General features: G+C 42.4%; 1 long non-coding RNA gene across 5 annotated transcripts, besides 2 other annotated features; it reads left to right on the top strand.

Annotated features, from left to right (window-relative positions):
- Positions 5022-9268, top strand: LOC440742 (uncharacterized). Of its 5 annotated transcripts, none has more exons than NR_188394.1 (3): positions 5022-5659; positions 6077-6227; positions 8437-9268. It is a non-coding gene; the product is annotated as an uncharacterized LOC440742 (long non-coding RNA). The 5 variants fall into 5 exon arrangements; NR_188393.1 differs by having other exon boundaries at positions 8678-9268; NR_188395.1 differs by having other exon boundaries at positions 5022-5323; positions 7556-9268.
- Positions 9225-9519: a silencer, noted in NCBI's record as "tiled region #3339; K562 Repressive non-DNase unmatched - State 21:Repr". NCBI's record gives its function as "represses a minimal TATA promoter and a strong SV40 promoter by Sharpr-MPRA in K562 cells {active_cell/tissue: K562}" and the evidence as "EXISTENCE:reporter gene assay evidence [ECO:0000049][PMID:27701403]".
- Positions 16174-16223: an enhancer, noted in NCBI's record as "active region_2833". NCBI's record gives its function as "activates an Ori minimal core promoter by ATAC-STARR-seq in GM12878 lymphoblastoid cells {active_cell/tissue: GM12878}" and the evidence as "EXISTENCE:reporter gene assay evidence [ECO:0000049][PMID:35858748]".

Below are 17415 nucleotides of genomic sequence, written 5' to 3' on the forward strand. Positions count from 1 at the left end.
GCAGTTACAAGCTTACAAAAAGGGGAGGGAGGGGGACTTTTTATTTTCAGTTCCTATAGTAACTGGTCAGAGTATCTCAAAGCTTCCTGAAGATGCTGAGCGTTTACTTGAATTTAGTTCTGTGGACTAACATCTAATTTTAAGTAAGGAACATTATCTTAACAATCTTAACTGGATATACTTATAAAAATAATATTTTGACATGATTTGGAAGAAGTAACTTCTTAAAACATTCTTTGCAAAACTAGAACAGAATATTAATTACACAAACTGCCACATTTGGTAAGTGAAATGAAGGAATCATTTATTTGCCACATTTAAAAAAGGAAATTAATTTGTCATGTGATCATGTTGGAAACCATTAAAACTGATCCCTCCTTTGACATCTGGCTGATACATAGTATATTTTAAATATGTAGTTTTATTTACTTTAGAAAACTTCTTTTTCCTTTAGATAATCAATTATGCACTGGATTGATGTGGGTTCAGCATTGTGTGCTAGGGGTACCCTAGGGAAGATCCAAGAAGTATAAAGTGTTAAGGATACTAGTTTCGGATTTCCTTTCTGGTTAATTATGCTATCAGATTAATAGGTGAATCAAATAGAGTTTTTCTTTAACATTTGTTATGAATATCTACAAATAGGTTATTGAAAGGTTGGAAAAAGGGGAATACTATATTAACATTTTAGAACAGTTAAAATGGCCAAAATAATCATTTTCCAAGTAAATCTTTTTAACTACCATCAAAAAATCTTTTTTTTTTTTTTTTTTACCAAGAAGTGGCACTACTTAAAAAATCTCGAACTTCCAAGTGTTACGTATAAAACACACACCGACTCACTGACTCCATGAAGCCTTGACTCAAGAAATCCCATTGTACATATAAGATTTTTTTTTTAATGGTCTTAAGACCTCAAAATTTCCTGCATGGCATGACTATTTTATTCCTATAAAGCTTAAAACATTCTTTGATTTCCACTATAACGAGGGAAAGTTTCACATGCTCTGACTAGGAAACTGAGATAATTTTATATTTTAATTTGTAGATACTGACCTAAATTTTTGTTATAATTGTTTGTTGCAATGCTTGAATTTGCTGATAAGGTACAGTGAATTGAGTGTGAATTTGAAATGCGGCAAAGAAAAGCTCCGTCCTTTTCACTGAAATTACTTGACATTAAAATGCTAAAGATACCATCTTTAAAAATAAAGGAATAGTTTTATTTTTTAAAAGCGAATAGCTTTTAGGAGTTTCATTTTGGCTGTAGTCCAAGTTTATTATACTGACAGGATTTTGTCCCTTATGTTAAAATTTTTGTACCTTTGCCTACAAAAACACGGCAAAATATCTTTGTATATAATCCCTTGGTTTAAAATGTAGAACCGTTTATCTTTTGACTCCGAGTAGGTTTACTTCCATAAAAAAGAAACATTTTATGCTTCTAGGACCTCCGCCCTTGCTTACATTTCCTTAATATTATAAAAGGATAGCTAAAGTAATCAGATCTTATTGATGACACGGGAGGTTTTTAGAAATTCATTTTCAGAGGCACTTTAGAAATTGGACTTTCAGTATTTTTGTGAACCAACCCCTTAAAAAAATCTTTACTAATTAACTTTTGTAATTTCTTGTGAAAGAAGCTAAACTCCAAATTTAAAACACTGTAATCAGAAAGGATGAGGTCATATAAATGGAACAATGGCATGAAAAGTTGTTTTTTTTTTTTAAGTCTAAATACTTTATAATGTATCTGCTTACACTAAATAAATTGTTGAATTAATCATCCAGGTAATTCAGGCTTATAGGATAGTATTTGTCTAAAAATATTTAAGTACTTGCAATAAATCAGCATTTTTTTTGAGAGGGATGAATTATCCAGGTAAATTTCCTGATTTGATTCTAGCATTTACTAATGTACTGTGCATCATAATTCCTAGGTTTATGTGATCATGGTACTTTTCTTTAGCTGTAGGTACTTCACAAAAAATGTATATATATATTCTTTGAAAACCAAAATTTTTCTTGACTTTTGGGGCACATATGGCCAAATAAGGTATCTCCCTTTTCTAATCTTTGGAAATGGGTTTGCAGTCAAGCTTGCAATTTGCTATAGGAGGCATTCTCTAGTTAGTTTGGCAAGAAAGGAGTGAAAACCCAATTTGGCTTTAAAATGTAGCACATTAGTCAGTAACAGTTTCAGTGAGGATATTTAGAGTGGCTTTGAGAGGCCGTGTGACACCCAGAGAGAGTCCATTCACGGAAATGACTTATTTACAGTTTGTTATAATCTCTTTAGTTAATCATTAAATCAAGTAGCTTTTATTAAATGTCAATATGTATGGTTAATATGACTACATAGGAATTTTAAAAAGTCATATTGCCCCAAATATTCATGTTTGTAAAGGGTATATTTGTAGTTAATATGAAGTGGAGCTTGGAAAACGTATTTGAATATTGGTAAACATTTATAGGACAGATTAAATGTGTTGTTTCAATACATAATGCATCTACAGTGGTATGAACCTGAAAGAATAGCATAACCTTATTTATGGATGCTATATGCCAAACCAGAGCTAACTTTTGATATGTGGCAGCTTACAAGGATGGATCTTTATCGTGTATGATTTATAAATATATATTACTTAAAACTGTAAAACAGGACACATTCATTTTATCTTAAAAATCATATTTAATGCAGTTTACCTTTGAGAGGATTTTAAAGACCCAAATATTTTTGTATGTCTAATGCTCTGAAATGATCTTTGATCAAAGTAAGAGCATTTAGATTTTTCATCTGACTCTCTTAAAATTTGTTTTTGAAAACAGCCTCAAAATATAAACATACCTTTTCTGTGGACCATGTCTTTGGAACTATATCATGTAAATTAGCTGTTTGGTAATATTGAAATGCCAACTGCATGTTTACTAGGCAGCAATGCTTCCTAAGGATGTGTATTTGGATAATTTTTGGAAAAGCACAATAGTACACTAATAGGTAATTAAAACATTTAAGAAAAATAGTCATTGTTTGTGAACCATAGTTACCATAGACGTTGGTGCCAACGATTTGTTTTTAGTGTATTAAAAAAATCTATTTTTTTCTAATTATAATGGTTTCTGAGTGTCACTTAAAAGCTTTATGAAGTAGAAGAAATTTGAGCATAGAACCATAGCTCAAGAAAACCTAATTTATAAAAGTTATTCTTATAACTACCTGTTTTTGAGAAAGAAGGTCTCATGCTTATGCATGTGATGAGGGAGAATGGGACAGGTTTATATTCAAAGCATAGTCATTATCCACGAGCCCTTCGCATAAAATTTGTTTAAGATCTCTTCAAAATCTCCAAGACTTTGCAACTGAATAAACCGAAAGAAACTGAAGTCTGGCAGATGGAATATTCCTTTAGGTTCTGATTTTTGTTGAGATGAAAACTAAAATTCATACTTTATAGTCAGTTCTCTCTGTTTCTCAATGTCCTTTTATTTACTATAGGAGGGTAAATTTTATGCATCAAGTGATTTTGACACCATTGCACAACTGAATTTTCAAGCCAAGTTTGTTTTTGTGTCTGACTTTCTACCATTCTGAAAAAATCGAAACAAATTTAAAATGAACACTGTATTTGAAATGGGCCCTATTTACCACTGGGTACCAGCAAACTGCATATTCCCACTGAGGGAGGGCTGAGCATGCAGATGAAAGAGCTGAGGCATTTTCCAGGGGCTCATGACAATAAACGACATCGAATTGGATGAAATCCTTAGGTTAAAGGAAAAAAATAAATTAGGGAATATGTTGGGTCACAATGAAGTTTTGCTTTTCATAGTAAGTGTGAAGTCTAGAAAATGTGGTGATTTCTCACATTCTATTTATATGTTATTTTACTTGAGGGATGCCTCAAAGCAGTACTAGAATCACTTCTGTGCAAAAGGGGGAGGAAAGGAGGGTTTGTCATCATGTATTCAGTTTGCTTTGTAAAGGTGCTTATCTTGCAGTAAAAATAATATTTTAGTCAAAGTATGACAGGCGGTTTGTAGGCTTGACCAGTATGGAAGGATTTTAAATGATTGGAGTGTTTCTGTTTAAAAGTCAGTCAAGTAACACCCTCAAAGACTAAGGCGATCAATCCTCCTATTGTTATTCTTATTTAGTAGTACATATATGCTTTTTTTTCTCTCTCCTAACGTAACAGAACGTTTAAGCCTTCTAACCAAAAACAATTCCAAGCTTACATCTGTATCCTGAATTTTAAAATTTACATTCTGGCCTGGTCCCTTTTGAAATAATGAACTAATTCTGTTATTCAAATGATAAAAATCCAGTGGCCAGCATGGCCCAATTGTTTTCCATTATTTGTAGACCTACAGTATATGTCTGATCATCCCCGCTTACAGACTGCCGCATCACGTGCTTTTCCACAGAGAGTGATTGATTGAAAGTCACAAAAACTTACAGCTGGAAGGGGCAACAGTGACTTCCGGTTCATTCATCCTGAAAGTGGAGGAGCAGGCATGGGGAGGTGAAGCGGCTCAAAGCTCTTTACAAACATTTCATACCTTCCCCAAACCTTTGGTACTATCATTTTATAGATGACTTTTTCTCTGCTTAGAGGCTCACAAAGGCTCAACTCCTTGCTCTGGGCACATCTTTGATCAAGTCTGAATCTGAAATCAACATTCTGGTTATGCCTAGGTGATAAAATTTGCATTATGCAAATATCTATTTACCATGATTACATGTACCATTGTCTGCGATCTATGTTTACCAATGGAATCTAAGATTGGAATGATACTATTTCTTTTCCTGACTTTGACCCTATCAACTATTTAAAAAATACATACAGCAGAACGTTCTCTGATGGTGTCAAAGAGGACATGTTTTGGCCCATCTCCTTCCAGCTCACCAAGAGCTAAAACCCTGTCAGGATCTTCCTGACCAACACACTCTCCCTCTCTGCTTCCAGCTACGAAAGGGTTGCTTGGGTTTCCAAAACATGTTATTTGTTCAACCACAACGAGGCACTGCTCCTTGCAGCTAGTCACTGCAGGGTTGTCAGAGCTGTTGCTGGACGTGCAGAAGGGAGAGATGAAACATGGACCGAGGGCGGCAGCCAAACGGGATCCTCAAAACTTGTTTGCTGCTGAAATGGGAGAATTGAATATTTTTCCACTTAATCTAAAAATTGGCCTTGGTTTCTTGGAATGTTTCTCACCTCCTCTCAGCATCATCTACTGGAAAGAAGGCTCAAGAGAAAGTTGGGGAAGATCTATCAATGAAACACCCGAGGAAACCCACCCTGATACCTTCATTTCTCCATTTGTAAGACCAGCATATTCATACCCGTGTCACCTTTTTCTTTAGAATAACATGAAAATGAATATGCAAAAGCATTAAGCTTTCAGAGGAAAGATGCTATGCAAATTTGAGGTGACCTCACTATTACAATAATAATTTTTTTTTGCACTAAGACGAAATTTTTCCTTATCCTAAAGCCTTCCTACCAAGGTAGACTTTTTTCAATGTGGGTTTTTGTGATTTAAATTCACCAAGCACTGATAGTTTCAAGTTTATTTCAGTATTAAGCAGGAAAGCAGTTTCTGCATGAAATGTGAAAACTAAAATACCATAGTAATGAAAAAGATTCCGCATCCTCAGGTGGGTTTTGCAGGTGTGTACGTGTTTAGCTATACACATCTCATATCACTTACATTGTACTTGTGATTCTTTTCTCAAATCCCAAATCTCTCAAAGCCCTTTCAAATTTCTATCTGATTAACTAGTCCAAAGGCTAAGTTGGATACAGATATTTTTTCTCTTCAGGCTGAAGAAATCAAGACTGAAAGCGTTGGTTCATGTTTACTCTTGTATCATAAGTATTTTTAAAAGTATGATTAATATATATAATAACAAACCAGCACAGCTCCCCTGGGAGGCACACATATTAAAATGATTTACCCGGAGATTTAAATGATTTACTCCACTCTCACCAGGAGAAGGTGGCCCATGCCAGAGCCCACCTCAGAGCATCTCAATCTCAGGCCTTGCCTCATCTATGTGCTCTTTTATGTGCAGGTGCAGCCCACGTTGTGGTGTAATGCAAATCTATGGCTATACTGTATCACAGCGAATAAATCCATTTGGAGAAAAAGGCACCTGGTGAAAGGCCACAGTGCAATGGAATGCAATGCTGCTATGTGCAATGCTGCTTACAAGAAAACTTTGGGTAAATATTGCACGGGTCAAACTTACGATCCAACTTTTTCACGTAACAGGGCCGCGTATTGGATGCCTTCAGAATTCCCATTCAGCGTGTCCACTTTGCTCTTTGATGCAATGCCACCTCACAAAAGCATTCAAGCCACAGTCATCTATTTTTTTCCTTCTTTCTCCCCTTGCTATAATGACCCAAATCTCCGTTTTTACTTTGTAATTTTTGTAAGTTTTTTAAGGCAATGACTATAATAATTCATGTTTAGTGAAATAATTCTTTTGGTTGATATATTTCACAGTTTGGTCTCTAAAAAAAGTTAAAAAACAACAACAAGAACCAAAAACAAACAACCCCCCGCCCCAAGCTTCCCTCTGCTTGATGCCATAGACAAGAGTCCAAAGGACATTAGCTGCTCCATTGCACACATTGGAAGGGAGAGTTTGCTGTGAGCTCAGTCCTTCTAATAGACTGGCAATTTTGTAAAAGATTTAGAGAATTTTGTTTAACCATTTCTGCATGTGTTTTTAATGAGCTCATGATGGTTTCTAACAAAGGCCAGGTTGTGTGTTTTCCAGCACTTTCTGACCTGATTCCTCCCTGCTGACTTGGGGAGTGGGCACCTGTGCTTCTCTCCTGGCTCACCTATGGGAGTCGGGGTGGTGGGGCCATCTCCGGGCCTGTCTTCACGCCAGGGATGAATCATGTAGTAGGCAGAGTGGAAGGAGTCTCTTTGTTGACAGCTTTCCATCTGGACTTTGGATACGGCTGATCGTTCATGTAGAGCCGTGGTTAGCTGGAAGGGGCTACGCGAGTCAGCTCCTCCTTAAGGGATCAAGGGTGTGTAAAACATCAGGAAAGAACTGCCTGGGATTTCATTTGCAAAGCTTAGAGAAGCATTTTATCCTCTGAGTTTCAGGTAGCCAGGGTTGTGAATGTGTATGACTGCAGCTTTGACAGGTCGGTCTTTAATAGTCAATAGGATCATTTATAGCCTCGTTCAGATAATCCAACTGGAGTACACCTGAATAAATACATCAAGTTCAGGTGGCTAAAAGCTAACCCCTTTTGAGTTTAATAATTAAAATAAACAGAGCTATGAAGATGAATTTCAGTTTGTCATGCATAAATGTAAGAAGCTCCATAAAGGATGGTGTTCTGTGATTCATATAGGAGTATGATGGATGTATGATACGTTTTCCACAGCTATTTAAGAAAAAACGATTATCTTAGTCATGGGGTAAAGTTATGTGAAGCATTGCACCATCCAGGCTGTGTCTGGGCCAGTACAGATTTTTTTTCTTTTTCTTTTTCTTTCTTTCTTTTTTTTTTTTTTGTGAAAGATTACTTCTTGGCAAACTAGATATGCAAACGCCAGAATACAGTAAAACCACATTTAATTGGACCTACTTGCCAACTTCTTGAACACAGCTTGGATTATTCCACTGGAGGCTGCTTCTGTTAAAAGCTGGGGGAGGAGGAAGTGGCATATTGACAAGACTTCAGATAATTTTTTTTTCACTCGAAGTACAATTATGCAATGAGCCAAGTTTGGAAGTATTTTACTATGTTTAATAATTATTATTAAAGATATTGTAAAACATATGCATTTGTTAAGTGGAATGTAATGGGAGTAAAATCATGTCATCAATTTTCCTTTGGATTTATTTTCCCATTTTGTGTTTTATTTGACAGCCTTCCAAATTGATTCTAGCCAAAACCATGCACTCTAATATATATCATACTTGATATTAAAGTGAGAATGCGAGTAATTTATAGAATCTGAGTGAGAACAGTTTTCTTCTCTTAGCCAGCCTATATGGAGCTGCCACCTCTGCTCAGGTAGCAACCGACACATGCCTTGTACACAGAAAGGAAAATAATAGGGGTCGAGAAATCCTCCACACATCCTTCCTGATAGACACTCCAAAACCCACATATCCCAGGCATTGTTCAGTGGGAGATCAGGGGCAAGGAGAAGGATAACTATTTCTTTATGTGTGTGTGAATCTAGAGGAACCAGACTTGTCTCTGGAAATGCAAGTGGGAAGTGGGATTCACTGAGAAGCCATCATTCTGCTCAGGTGAGTCCTGACTTCAGGCGAGGGATCCTAAAGGTGACACCGCGATCCTTCACCTGGAAAGCCAAGGAGACATGACATCAGTGTGTTTCACATCCTAAGCTTAAACAAATGTATATTGTTTTTACCGCCTCTTTCTCAAGGGGGAACACTGCCCCTGAAACTGCACTCCTTGAAACCGAGCAAAGGTGCCATCGCTAATGATTAGCAAGACGCTCCGGATGGTTTGCATCGAACTCCACCTGCTATGTGAAAACCCCATGCTTTTCTCACTTTCCCATTCAAGCTGCTTAGCAGTTGGGTCCTCTCCTCTGAGTGTGGTTATGTGTCAGTTTGACTTCTGTGTGCCCTGCGATTTCGTTGTTTTCTTCTGCCCTGCCACAGCAAATGACCAGTGGAGGCAACCAGCGGACGGAGGAAAAGGGCAGGTCCCTGCATCCATCTCAGCGCCCTGCAGCCGGCGGCCTGTCCTTTCAGGCGGGAGTTCCCAGCGGCGTTCCTAGGTGTTTTGAATGTGTGCCCCGGGGCTGGGGGAAGCCTCGTGCAGTTCTGCTGCTGTGGGAGGCAGGGGGGACTGGAGGGGACGGGAGCAGTGTGAGGCTTTCATGTGCAGAGGGGACATGAGGACATCTGGATGGCATCCCTGTGAGCAGGGCTCCCGCTGCAGGCCTTTGAAAACCCCGCTGCCCTGGCTCCCCAGTGCCTTGGAACTTTCTCCCTGGAGAATGCAGAAAAGCCAGTGCCCTTGATTTCTTAGACATCTACAGCTTCGACACGTGCAGGGTTATCCAGGAGCAGTGAGGTTTGGGGTGAGGGCCTGAGCACTTTCTGAAAAGTGCTTGTTTCTAAGAACCTGGAACTATGAGTGAGGAGTGACATGAGTTCTGCCCTCAAGTCCTCTGATAACCAGCTGTGCAGTCTTGAACAAGTGACTTCATCTCTTCATCTTTAAAATAAACCTTTTGGGCCAAATGACTCGAATGTTTTTCCAACTTCATTTTTTTTTTTTTTACTGTTTAACAGAAATGCTGATTGAACTTGGGCTGGGAACAAAGAAATCTTTTCTAATTAGAGTAGAAATGATGACTAATATACTGCTCAAGCTTCTGAGGCTCATTGGGATCAAAGACACACTCACTCTGATAAGGGAGGGCACTGACCGGGCTGCTGACTGTTTCCACCAGCCTTCGGGTTTTAATATCTAACTACAGTTATGCCCATGCATGCTGGCCATGTGCTAGACACACGCTTCCTTGTCTTTGCTCAAGTCTAGTGGCTTTTGGGTTATTTGTATTTTTTAACAGGAGAAACCTGAGAGATCCTAAGTAGATATCAGGCAAGAGCTTGTCTAGTTCCATGTTTTGTTTTGTATGTTTTGTTTTGAGATAGGGTCTTGCTCTGTCACCTAGGTTGGAGCTCAGTGGTGCAATTGTGGCCCACTGTAGCCTCGAACTCCCGGCCCAAGTCATCCTCCCATCTCAGCCTCCTGAGTAGCTGGGACAACAGGCGTGCGCTTCCTGGCTAATTTTTTTTTTTTTTTTTTTTTTGTAGAAACAGGGTTTTGCCATGTTGCCCAGGCTGGTCTCAAATTCCTGGGCTCAAGCGATTTGCCCTCCTTGTTCTCCAAATGTGCTAGGATTACAGGCATGAGCCACCGAACCCAGTCCACTTCCATGGATTTTAAAAATGTTAAACACCTACCTTTAAGAAAGATGATGAGGCAATATCACCTTTGTTTTTGTTGCCGTCTATCAGAGAGAATGACTCCTAAGGAGTCATTCCTATGAGTCTTGCAGAGTGATTTTCTGTTTGTTCAGCTCCTTCACAGAGTCTTGGTTGGACAGCTCCCCGTCACCTTCCCCGACAGGGCCTTGCCTTTGAAAAGGCTAATTCTGGTAGACAGGCAGCTTCAACAGGAAGTGGCACACCAAGGACCATCGCTTTTGGATGTGGTTCATGGGATGTGGAGTGTCCAAGGAGATGCTGATAGGCCTAAAGATCAGAGATCATTTGACTTCGGTAGATTGTCAAAAGAGAACACAACACAATTGCAAATGGACTTTAAAATGAGAGAAAATCAAATTTCTAGTGACAATCATAAAAATGCCACAATCCACCATGGACAGCCACACCACCAACCTAGTCATTTTTTATATTTCTAGCTTGTACTTAATCCATTCCAGCATGGAGCAAAACGCTATCAGTGTTCTGTGAAGAAACAGTCCAAGAGAATGATTGCAGTCTAATTTGCATAAGAGTCTAACTCAAATATTTTCACTTTTTTTTTCATTTTGAAGTCACAAAGTAAAATGGTTGAGGAATTTAAGATTAGCATGTAAGCGAGACTGAAATAGGACTATGTTCTCATATTAGTTAAAACTCTTTGGTTGCAAGGAAGAGAAATCCAACTTAAGTGAGTTTAAGCCAAAAAAGAATTTTATTATAAGGCTACTTGGATTCAATGGAATCCAAAAGAGGAATATGGCTAGGCCTTGCAAGCAGCTAGAACTAGAAGCTCAAATGCCGTCTGGATTTGCTCTCCTCTCCTTGCCTCTGATTCTCTTTCTGCTGATTGGCATTTTCTATTCCTCAGTCCACATGGTGGAACAGGGCTGCCAACTGCTTCTGCATTTACATGCCTTCATTTTCAGACACCCAGAGAGAGACTGACTTCTTTTGTCAGTTGCAGTTCCCAAATCCTGGGGGGAGGGCTATGATTGGCCCGTTTGGATCAGGTGCCCACCTCTTGACCAATGGTCGGTGCCAAGGGTGAGGCCCGTTGTAGCAAAAGTTAGTCTCCCATGGTGCCATATTGAAGGCACCGCATATGCATGCACAGGGGGCATGGGAGCAGGGCAGACAGTTTCCCAGAATGCGGCTGGTGCTGAGCTGACGAAGCAATGGGGGCTCTTTACATATCTCAACGAAAATTAAAGGGAAATGAGGAGAAAATATTATTTCTTTGGAAGTGAGAATAGTATATTCTCCCTTTTGGTGTCTCCAGAGTTCATTTCTAACCCATGGCCAAATGGTTAAGTGAAATAATGTTGTTTTTTTTTTTAAAAAAAGTACAGTAAAATATCAATTACTTTTCACTTAACTTGGCTTATCTAATCTTCTTCCCTTATGACCTTACAGTCTTGGAGCATGTTCACATACATTTTTCTGAAACCCTTACTTGATCCATGCTGCGGAGGCCATGTGACTCAATTGCTGAGCCGACCCTTCAGCTATTTAATACTGATCCAGATGCCCTGTGGGTGGGACAGAGGGTGATCAGACAACAGCACCCATGAACAAAGAAGATGTCTCCCCTTTCCCCGTGTTCGGGACGGAGGAAGGAGACTCGTGTCACTGAAGAGCTCTGTATTCACAGCAGGTGTGGAATGTGTGTTCTCCACGTAGAAACACCGGAATCTAGGAGGCGAGGGCATGGAGGCGTCGAGAGCATCAGTGCAGGTTAATGGGAACCAGGCCCTCTGAGACTGAGCACCCGGGAGCATCAGCCAGGGTACTGGCTACTGACAAAGTCACACTCCCCTTCTCCCGTGCTTTCAGTGCCACTGTCTGAAAATGAAGTTGTCCCTTAGAAGGTCCCTCTTTCCAGCCCCTGGGAGACCTGGCTTTCCTGAGCCAAGAGCAGAGAACCACTATTTCATTTTTTATTTATTTAAATTTTTTTTAACTTTTGTTTTGTATTTTTAGAGATGGACTCTTATTCTGTCACCCAGGCTGGAGTGCAGTGGTGTGATCATAGTTCACTGTAACCTTGAACTCCTGGGCTCAAGTGATCCTCCTCCCTCAGCCTCCCGAGTAGATGGGATTACAAGTGCATGCCACCATGCCCAGCCCCACACAGTTTTTTGTTTTTGTTTTTGTTTTTGTTTTTTCTTGAGATGGAGTTTTTGCTCTTGTTGCCCAGGCTGGAGTGCAATGGTGCAATCTTGGCTCACCACAACCTCCGCCTCCTGGGTTCAAGTGATTCTCCTGCCTCAGCCTCCTGAGTAGCTGGGATTACAGGCATGCGCCTCCACGCCCGGCTAATTTTGTATTTTTAATAGAGACGGGGTTTCTCCACGGGGTTTCTCCATGTTGGTCAGGCTGGTCTCCCTGCCTGGGATTCTCCTGTTTCAGCCTCCTGAGTGGCTGGGATTACAGGTGCGTGCCATCACGCCCGGCTAATTTTTGTATTTTTAGTAGAGATGGGGTTTCACCATGTTGGTCAGGCTGGTCTTGAACTCCTGACCTCATGATCTACCCGCCTCGACCTCCCAAAGTGCTGGGATTGCAGACGTGAGCCACTGTGCCTGGCCTGCACTCCAATTCTTGTGATTTGTATTTGGGGGGCTTTCGGGCCTGACATTGGGCTCCCAACCTCAGGTGATCTGCCAGCCTCGGCCTCCCAAAGTGCTAGGATTACAGGCATGAGCCACGGCACCCAGCCCATAGTTTGTTTTAAATGGCAGACACAGGCTGGGCTCTGTGGCTCATGCCTGTAATCTCAGCACTTTGGGAGGCTGAGGCAGGAGGATCACTTGAGCCCAGGAGCTCAATATCAACCTGGGTGACATAGTGAAACCTCATCTTTACAAAAAAAGCCAAAAAACAAAAAACAAAAATTAGACAGGTGTGGTGGTGTGCACCTGTAGCCCCAGCTACTCAGCGGGCTGAGGTGGGAGGATCGCTTGAGTCTGGGATGTTGGGGCTGCAGTGAGCTGAGATGGAGCCACTGCACTCCAGCCTGGCGACAGAGCAAGACCCTGTCTCCAAAAATAAAATAAATAAATAAATAAATAAATAAATGCTAAACACAGATTGTCTGGACGTGTGGCTCATCACTTTTTAGGTACTCATGGTCCCATCACTAAAGATGCAACATAATCAGAATCAGACTTGTAAGAGATTGAACGAAGCTCCTGATTAGAATTAAGTCCTCAAGGTCAATGTGGAGACACATTGATTCAGTGTGTCACGGACTCTGGAGGAAACAAAGGGGGACATTTCAGGCACCATGGGTTTTGTTGTTGCTGTTCGTACTCCAATTCTTTTTTTTTTTTTTTGACGGAGTCTTGCTTTGTCACCCAGGCTGGAGTGCCATGGTGCGATCTCGGCTCACTGCAATGTCCACCTCCCAGTTTCAAGGGATTCTCCTGTTTCAGCCTCCTGAGTGGCTGGGATTACAGGTGCGTGCCACCACGCCCGGCTAATTTTTGTATTTTTAGTAGAGATGGGGTTTCACCATGTTGGTCAGGCTGGTCTTGAACTCCTGACCTCATGATCTACCCGCCTCGACCTCCCAAAGTGCTGGGATTGCAGATGTGAGCCACTGTGCCTGGCCTGCACTCCAATTCTTGTGATTTGTATTTGGAGGGCTTTCGGGCCTGACATTGGGCTGCTGCCTCTCTTCAGGCCTTTGTTGATCTTCCTGCCTGCCTGCTGCGTGGATGGGGTGCAGATCCAGGCTTGCCCACTTCACGATGGTGAGAGCTTGGGCACATGACAGGGTCCCTTGAACCCCAGTTCCTCACTAACATAGGGATTTCAGCAACTCTCTCTTAGAAAGGCCATGGGGACGTGTGAGTTGGTACCTTTCAAGCAGTGGAAGCATCGTCTCTGCTAGGATCCTTTCAGTCACTGTTTTCAGTGACCGAAAACAGACACAGACTAGTGTGAAGAAAGAATAGACTTTATTAACTCACACGGCTAGGAAGCCCAGGAGCAGCGCTGGCCTTGGGGGTGACTGGGCACAGGGCTGAAGATGACACTAAGTTCTTTCATTCTCTGTTTGCCCTCCTCACCCCATTTTCATGGGTTCGCTCCTGTATTTCCAGCTGAAAATGGGCTTTCCTCACATAATGGGGGAAGCTTGCCAGAGGTGGAAATGGAACTAAGGTAGAGGGAAAATGTTGACGAAGTGGCTACTGCACACTTGGGCCTGGGGATACAGCAGTTCCTGCCGTCATGGAACTTACTTACCAGCCAATGAAACAATGAAACCAAAAATGACCATAAAGTATCATGAGTGTTATAAAAGTGAAGTGCACCGAAAGAGGGGTCGCGCTGTAAGTGGAGTCCAACCTGGCTGATGTGCCAGAGAAGATTCTTCAGAAAGTGGCAGGGGAAGAGGAGTCAGCCTGTAAATAAGCGGGTGGAACAGTGTTTTGGGCAGAGAGTTAGCATGTGCGAAGGACCAGACAGAGAACTGGGCAAATCTGAGGAAACTGTCAGATCTTTCTCAGTCCAGTGGGTCTGGCTAGAGCACGATGGGAAAGGTGTATCAGTTTCCCAGGGCTGCCAAACAAATCACCAGCAACTGGGTGCCTTCTAACAACAGTCCTTTATTCTCTCATTGTTCTGGAAGCAAGAAGCCCAAAATTAAGGGGTTGCCAGAGCCATGCTCCCGCCAGAAGCTCCATGCGGGAATCCTCCCTTGTCCCTGAAGTTCCAGTGGCCGGTGGCTCCAGGCGTTCCTGGTGGCTGCACCACTCCAATCTCTGCTTCTATCTTCACGTGGTCTTCTACTCTCTGTGTCTTCTCTTCTGCCTCTTTTTTTTTTTTTTTTTTTTTGTGATGGAGTCTCACTCAATCACCCAGGCTGGAGTGCAGTGACACGATCTCGGCTCACTGTAGCCTCTGCCTCCTGGGTTCAAGCAATTCTCCTGCCTCAGCCTCCCGAGTAGCTGGAATTACAGGCACCCACCATCATACCCGGCTCATTTTTGTATTTTTAGTAGAGACGGGGTTTCACCATGTTGGCCAGTCTGGTTTCGAACTCCCGACCTCAAGTGATCCTCCCGCCTCGGCCTCCCAGAGTGCTAGGATTTCAGGTGAGAGCCACCGCACCAGGTCTCTCTCTGCCTCTTAAAGGACACTTGTCATTGGATTTAGGGCTCACCTGGGTAATCTAGGATGATCTCCTCATCACAAGATCTTTAACTTAATGGCATCTGCAAAGACCCTTTTTCCAAATGAGGTCACATTCAGAGGGTCCGGTTGTTAGGTGTGGACATATCTTTTTGGGGATCACCATCCAATTGAGAGAGATGCTACTGGGCTGGTCAGCCAGGCCAGGACCTAGGGGATCTGGGCCTCATCCTAGAGCAGGAGAAAAACATTCCATTTTGCACTCCAGAAAGAACACTGTGGTTGTGGATGTGCCATGTGAGATGCAAGCAGGGTGGCTGGCCTGTCAGGAGAGGACCGCTGTGGTCCACGTGACAGGTGATGGAGGAATGGGCTGAGGCAGCAGCCCAGCCAGGGATGGAAAGAAGGGTTTGGGTCCCAGTCAAACTTAGAAAAAACAAGTCAACGGGACTTGGGGACTGATGGGGCTGGGTGGCTGGCGGCAGGGTGGAGGCAGGGTATCATTGGATGATGTGTATCAATGTGATACGTATCCCTCACATTAATTTTTCCCAGGAGACAGTGCTAGGAGGATGGAAAGAATATTGGCTTTGAAATTGGCGAAACCTTGGTTGAATTCCCAACGCTATTCCACTTTCCAGCTTCTTGACCTTGGTTGTGTTTCTTACTATTTCTGAGCCTCAGTTTTCTCCGACATAAAATGGAGATAATAATACTGAAATCACAGGGCTCTTGAAGGAATTAAATGACAGCCTATGTGGCGTAGTGGGCTCTGGGTGGCCACCTGGGCACCACAGATGTGATGTGCTCTTTCCTCCTCCTTCCTCCTGCCTGACCAACGTCCCTTCCTGCAGGGGCTTCCCCGGGCGCTCAGCTGCACCCACCTCCTACTTCTCTCCCACTTGCTTCCTGCACGGCTGGCTCCACCCCACCTGCAGCCTTTTTTTTCTCCTGGGACCTGCCCACGCATTGCCCTCTCCACTGTCCTGGAAACTTCAACAGATATTTTCTCACCTGTTACCCCTAAGTAGCCCAGGCTGCAAAACGGGTAGTCTTAGCGCCTTGAAAGGGAACCTGAAGGGCTTGCTGAGTTTACTGCCGGCTGCGATGTGTTCGTTCACTGGTTTATTCCTGCATCTATGCATCCACTCCCTCAACAAACACTTCGAGTGGGCGAGGCATTGTCTCGCACCGCGAACACTGAGCTGAACGGAAATGTGGTTCTCACCTCATGAAGTTTACTAATTCTACCAGGCAACCCGCCCTCTCTGAGCTCATGAATTTTCTGGTTGCACTGATTTAATGGCTTCACTCTCTGGCTTTGACACCCCCACAGGTAAAGTGAGGGAGAGCGGGAGGAGCATGAATTTGATTGTCCAGTCTCATCCGGGCTAGGTGGACATTAGGACACACAGGCAGGTTCCCAGGAGGTGGAACAGAAGCTGGAGCTTCCCTGAGAAAGCAGACACCCCCGTCCTACCTCTCAGACACATTTCCGTCTTCACTGGTGATGTTTTTCTCCACCCCGTTTCTTGCCACTTGCCATTCATAATCACTGCTCTTGGTCTGGTAAGCAGAGAGGGCAGGACAAAAATTTGATTTACTTACGACAATGTTTTACAAGCTTGAGCATAAAAACATGTGGTTTCCTGGGACTGGCCATCCCAGGAATTTGGCTGGGACATTAAGGAGTTGGCTGGCACTAACTGTAAGTGCCTACCACTTCCTACCCTCCTGGGGGAGGCTTGCCTTGCTCTTCTGAGCACTTTCTAACTTCAGGCTGTCTGGAGCCTCAAGGTTCTCCAACGTATGCAAATGCATGTGTTCTGACACAAGATGCAAATGTCAGGAATCCTCTTTTAAAAGGGCCAGTCTCTAAGACTTGCAAAAACGGCGACCGGAGACTGACTTAAACCTACCACCCGGAAGAGATGTTGGCTGTGAGGAAGGGAGAAACAATGAAGTGTGAGATGGTGTGAACTCTGGAAGGCAGAACCTTAGGGAAAAACGAAAGAGTAATTTCGTTCGTTGATGAATTCATTTATTCTACTAAGTATTGTGCAGAGCACTATAGGGTTTACCAAGAATAAAAATTGTCTCTATCATGGAGGACCTAAAAGAGATCAGAGAGAAAAGTTTTATTCTCGGTTTACCAAGAATGACAATTGTCCCTATCCTGGAGGACCTAAAAGAGACCAGAACCTTAGGGAAAAACGAAAGAGTAATTTCGTTCATTGATGAATTCACTTATTCTACTA

The sequence above is a fragment of the Homo sapiens genome, chromosome 1 (assembly GCF_000001405.40).
Source record: "Homo sapiens chromosome 1, GRCh38.p14 Primary Assembly".
Taxonomy (NCBI): Eukaryota; Metazoa; Chordata; class Mammalia; order Primates; family Hominidae; genus Homo; species Homo sapiens.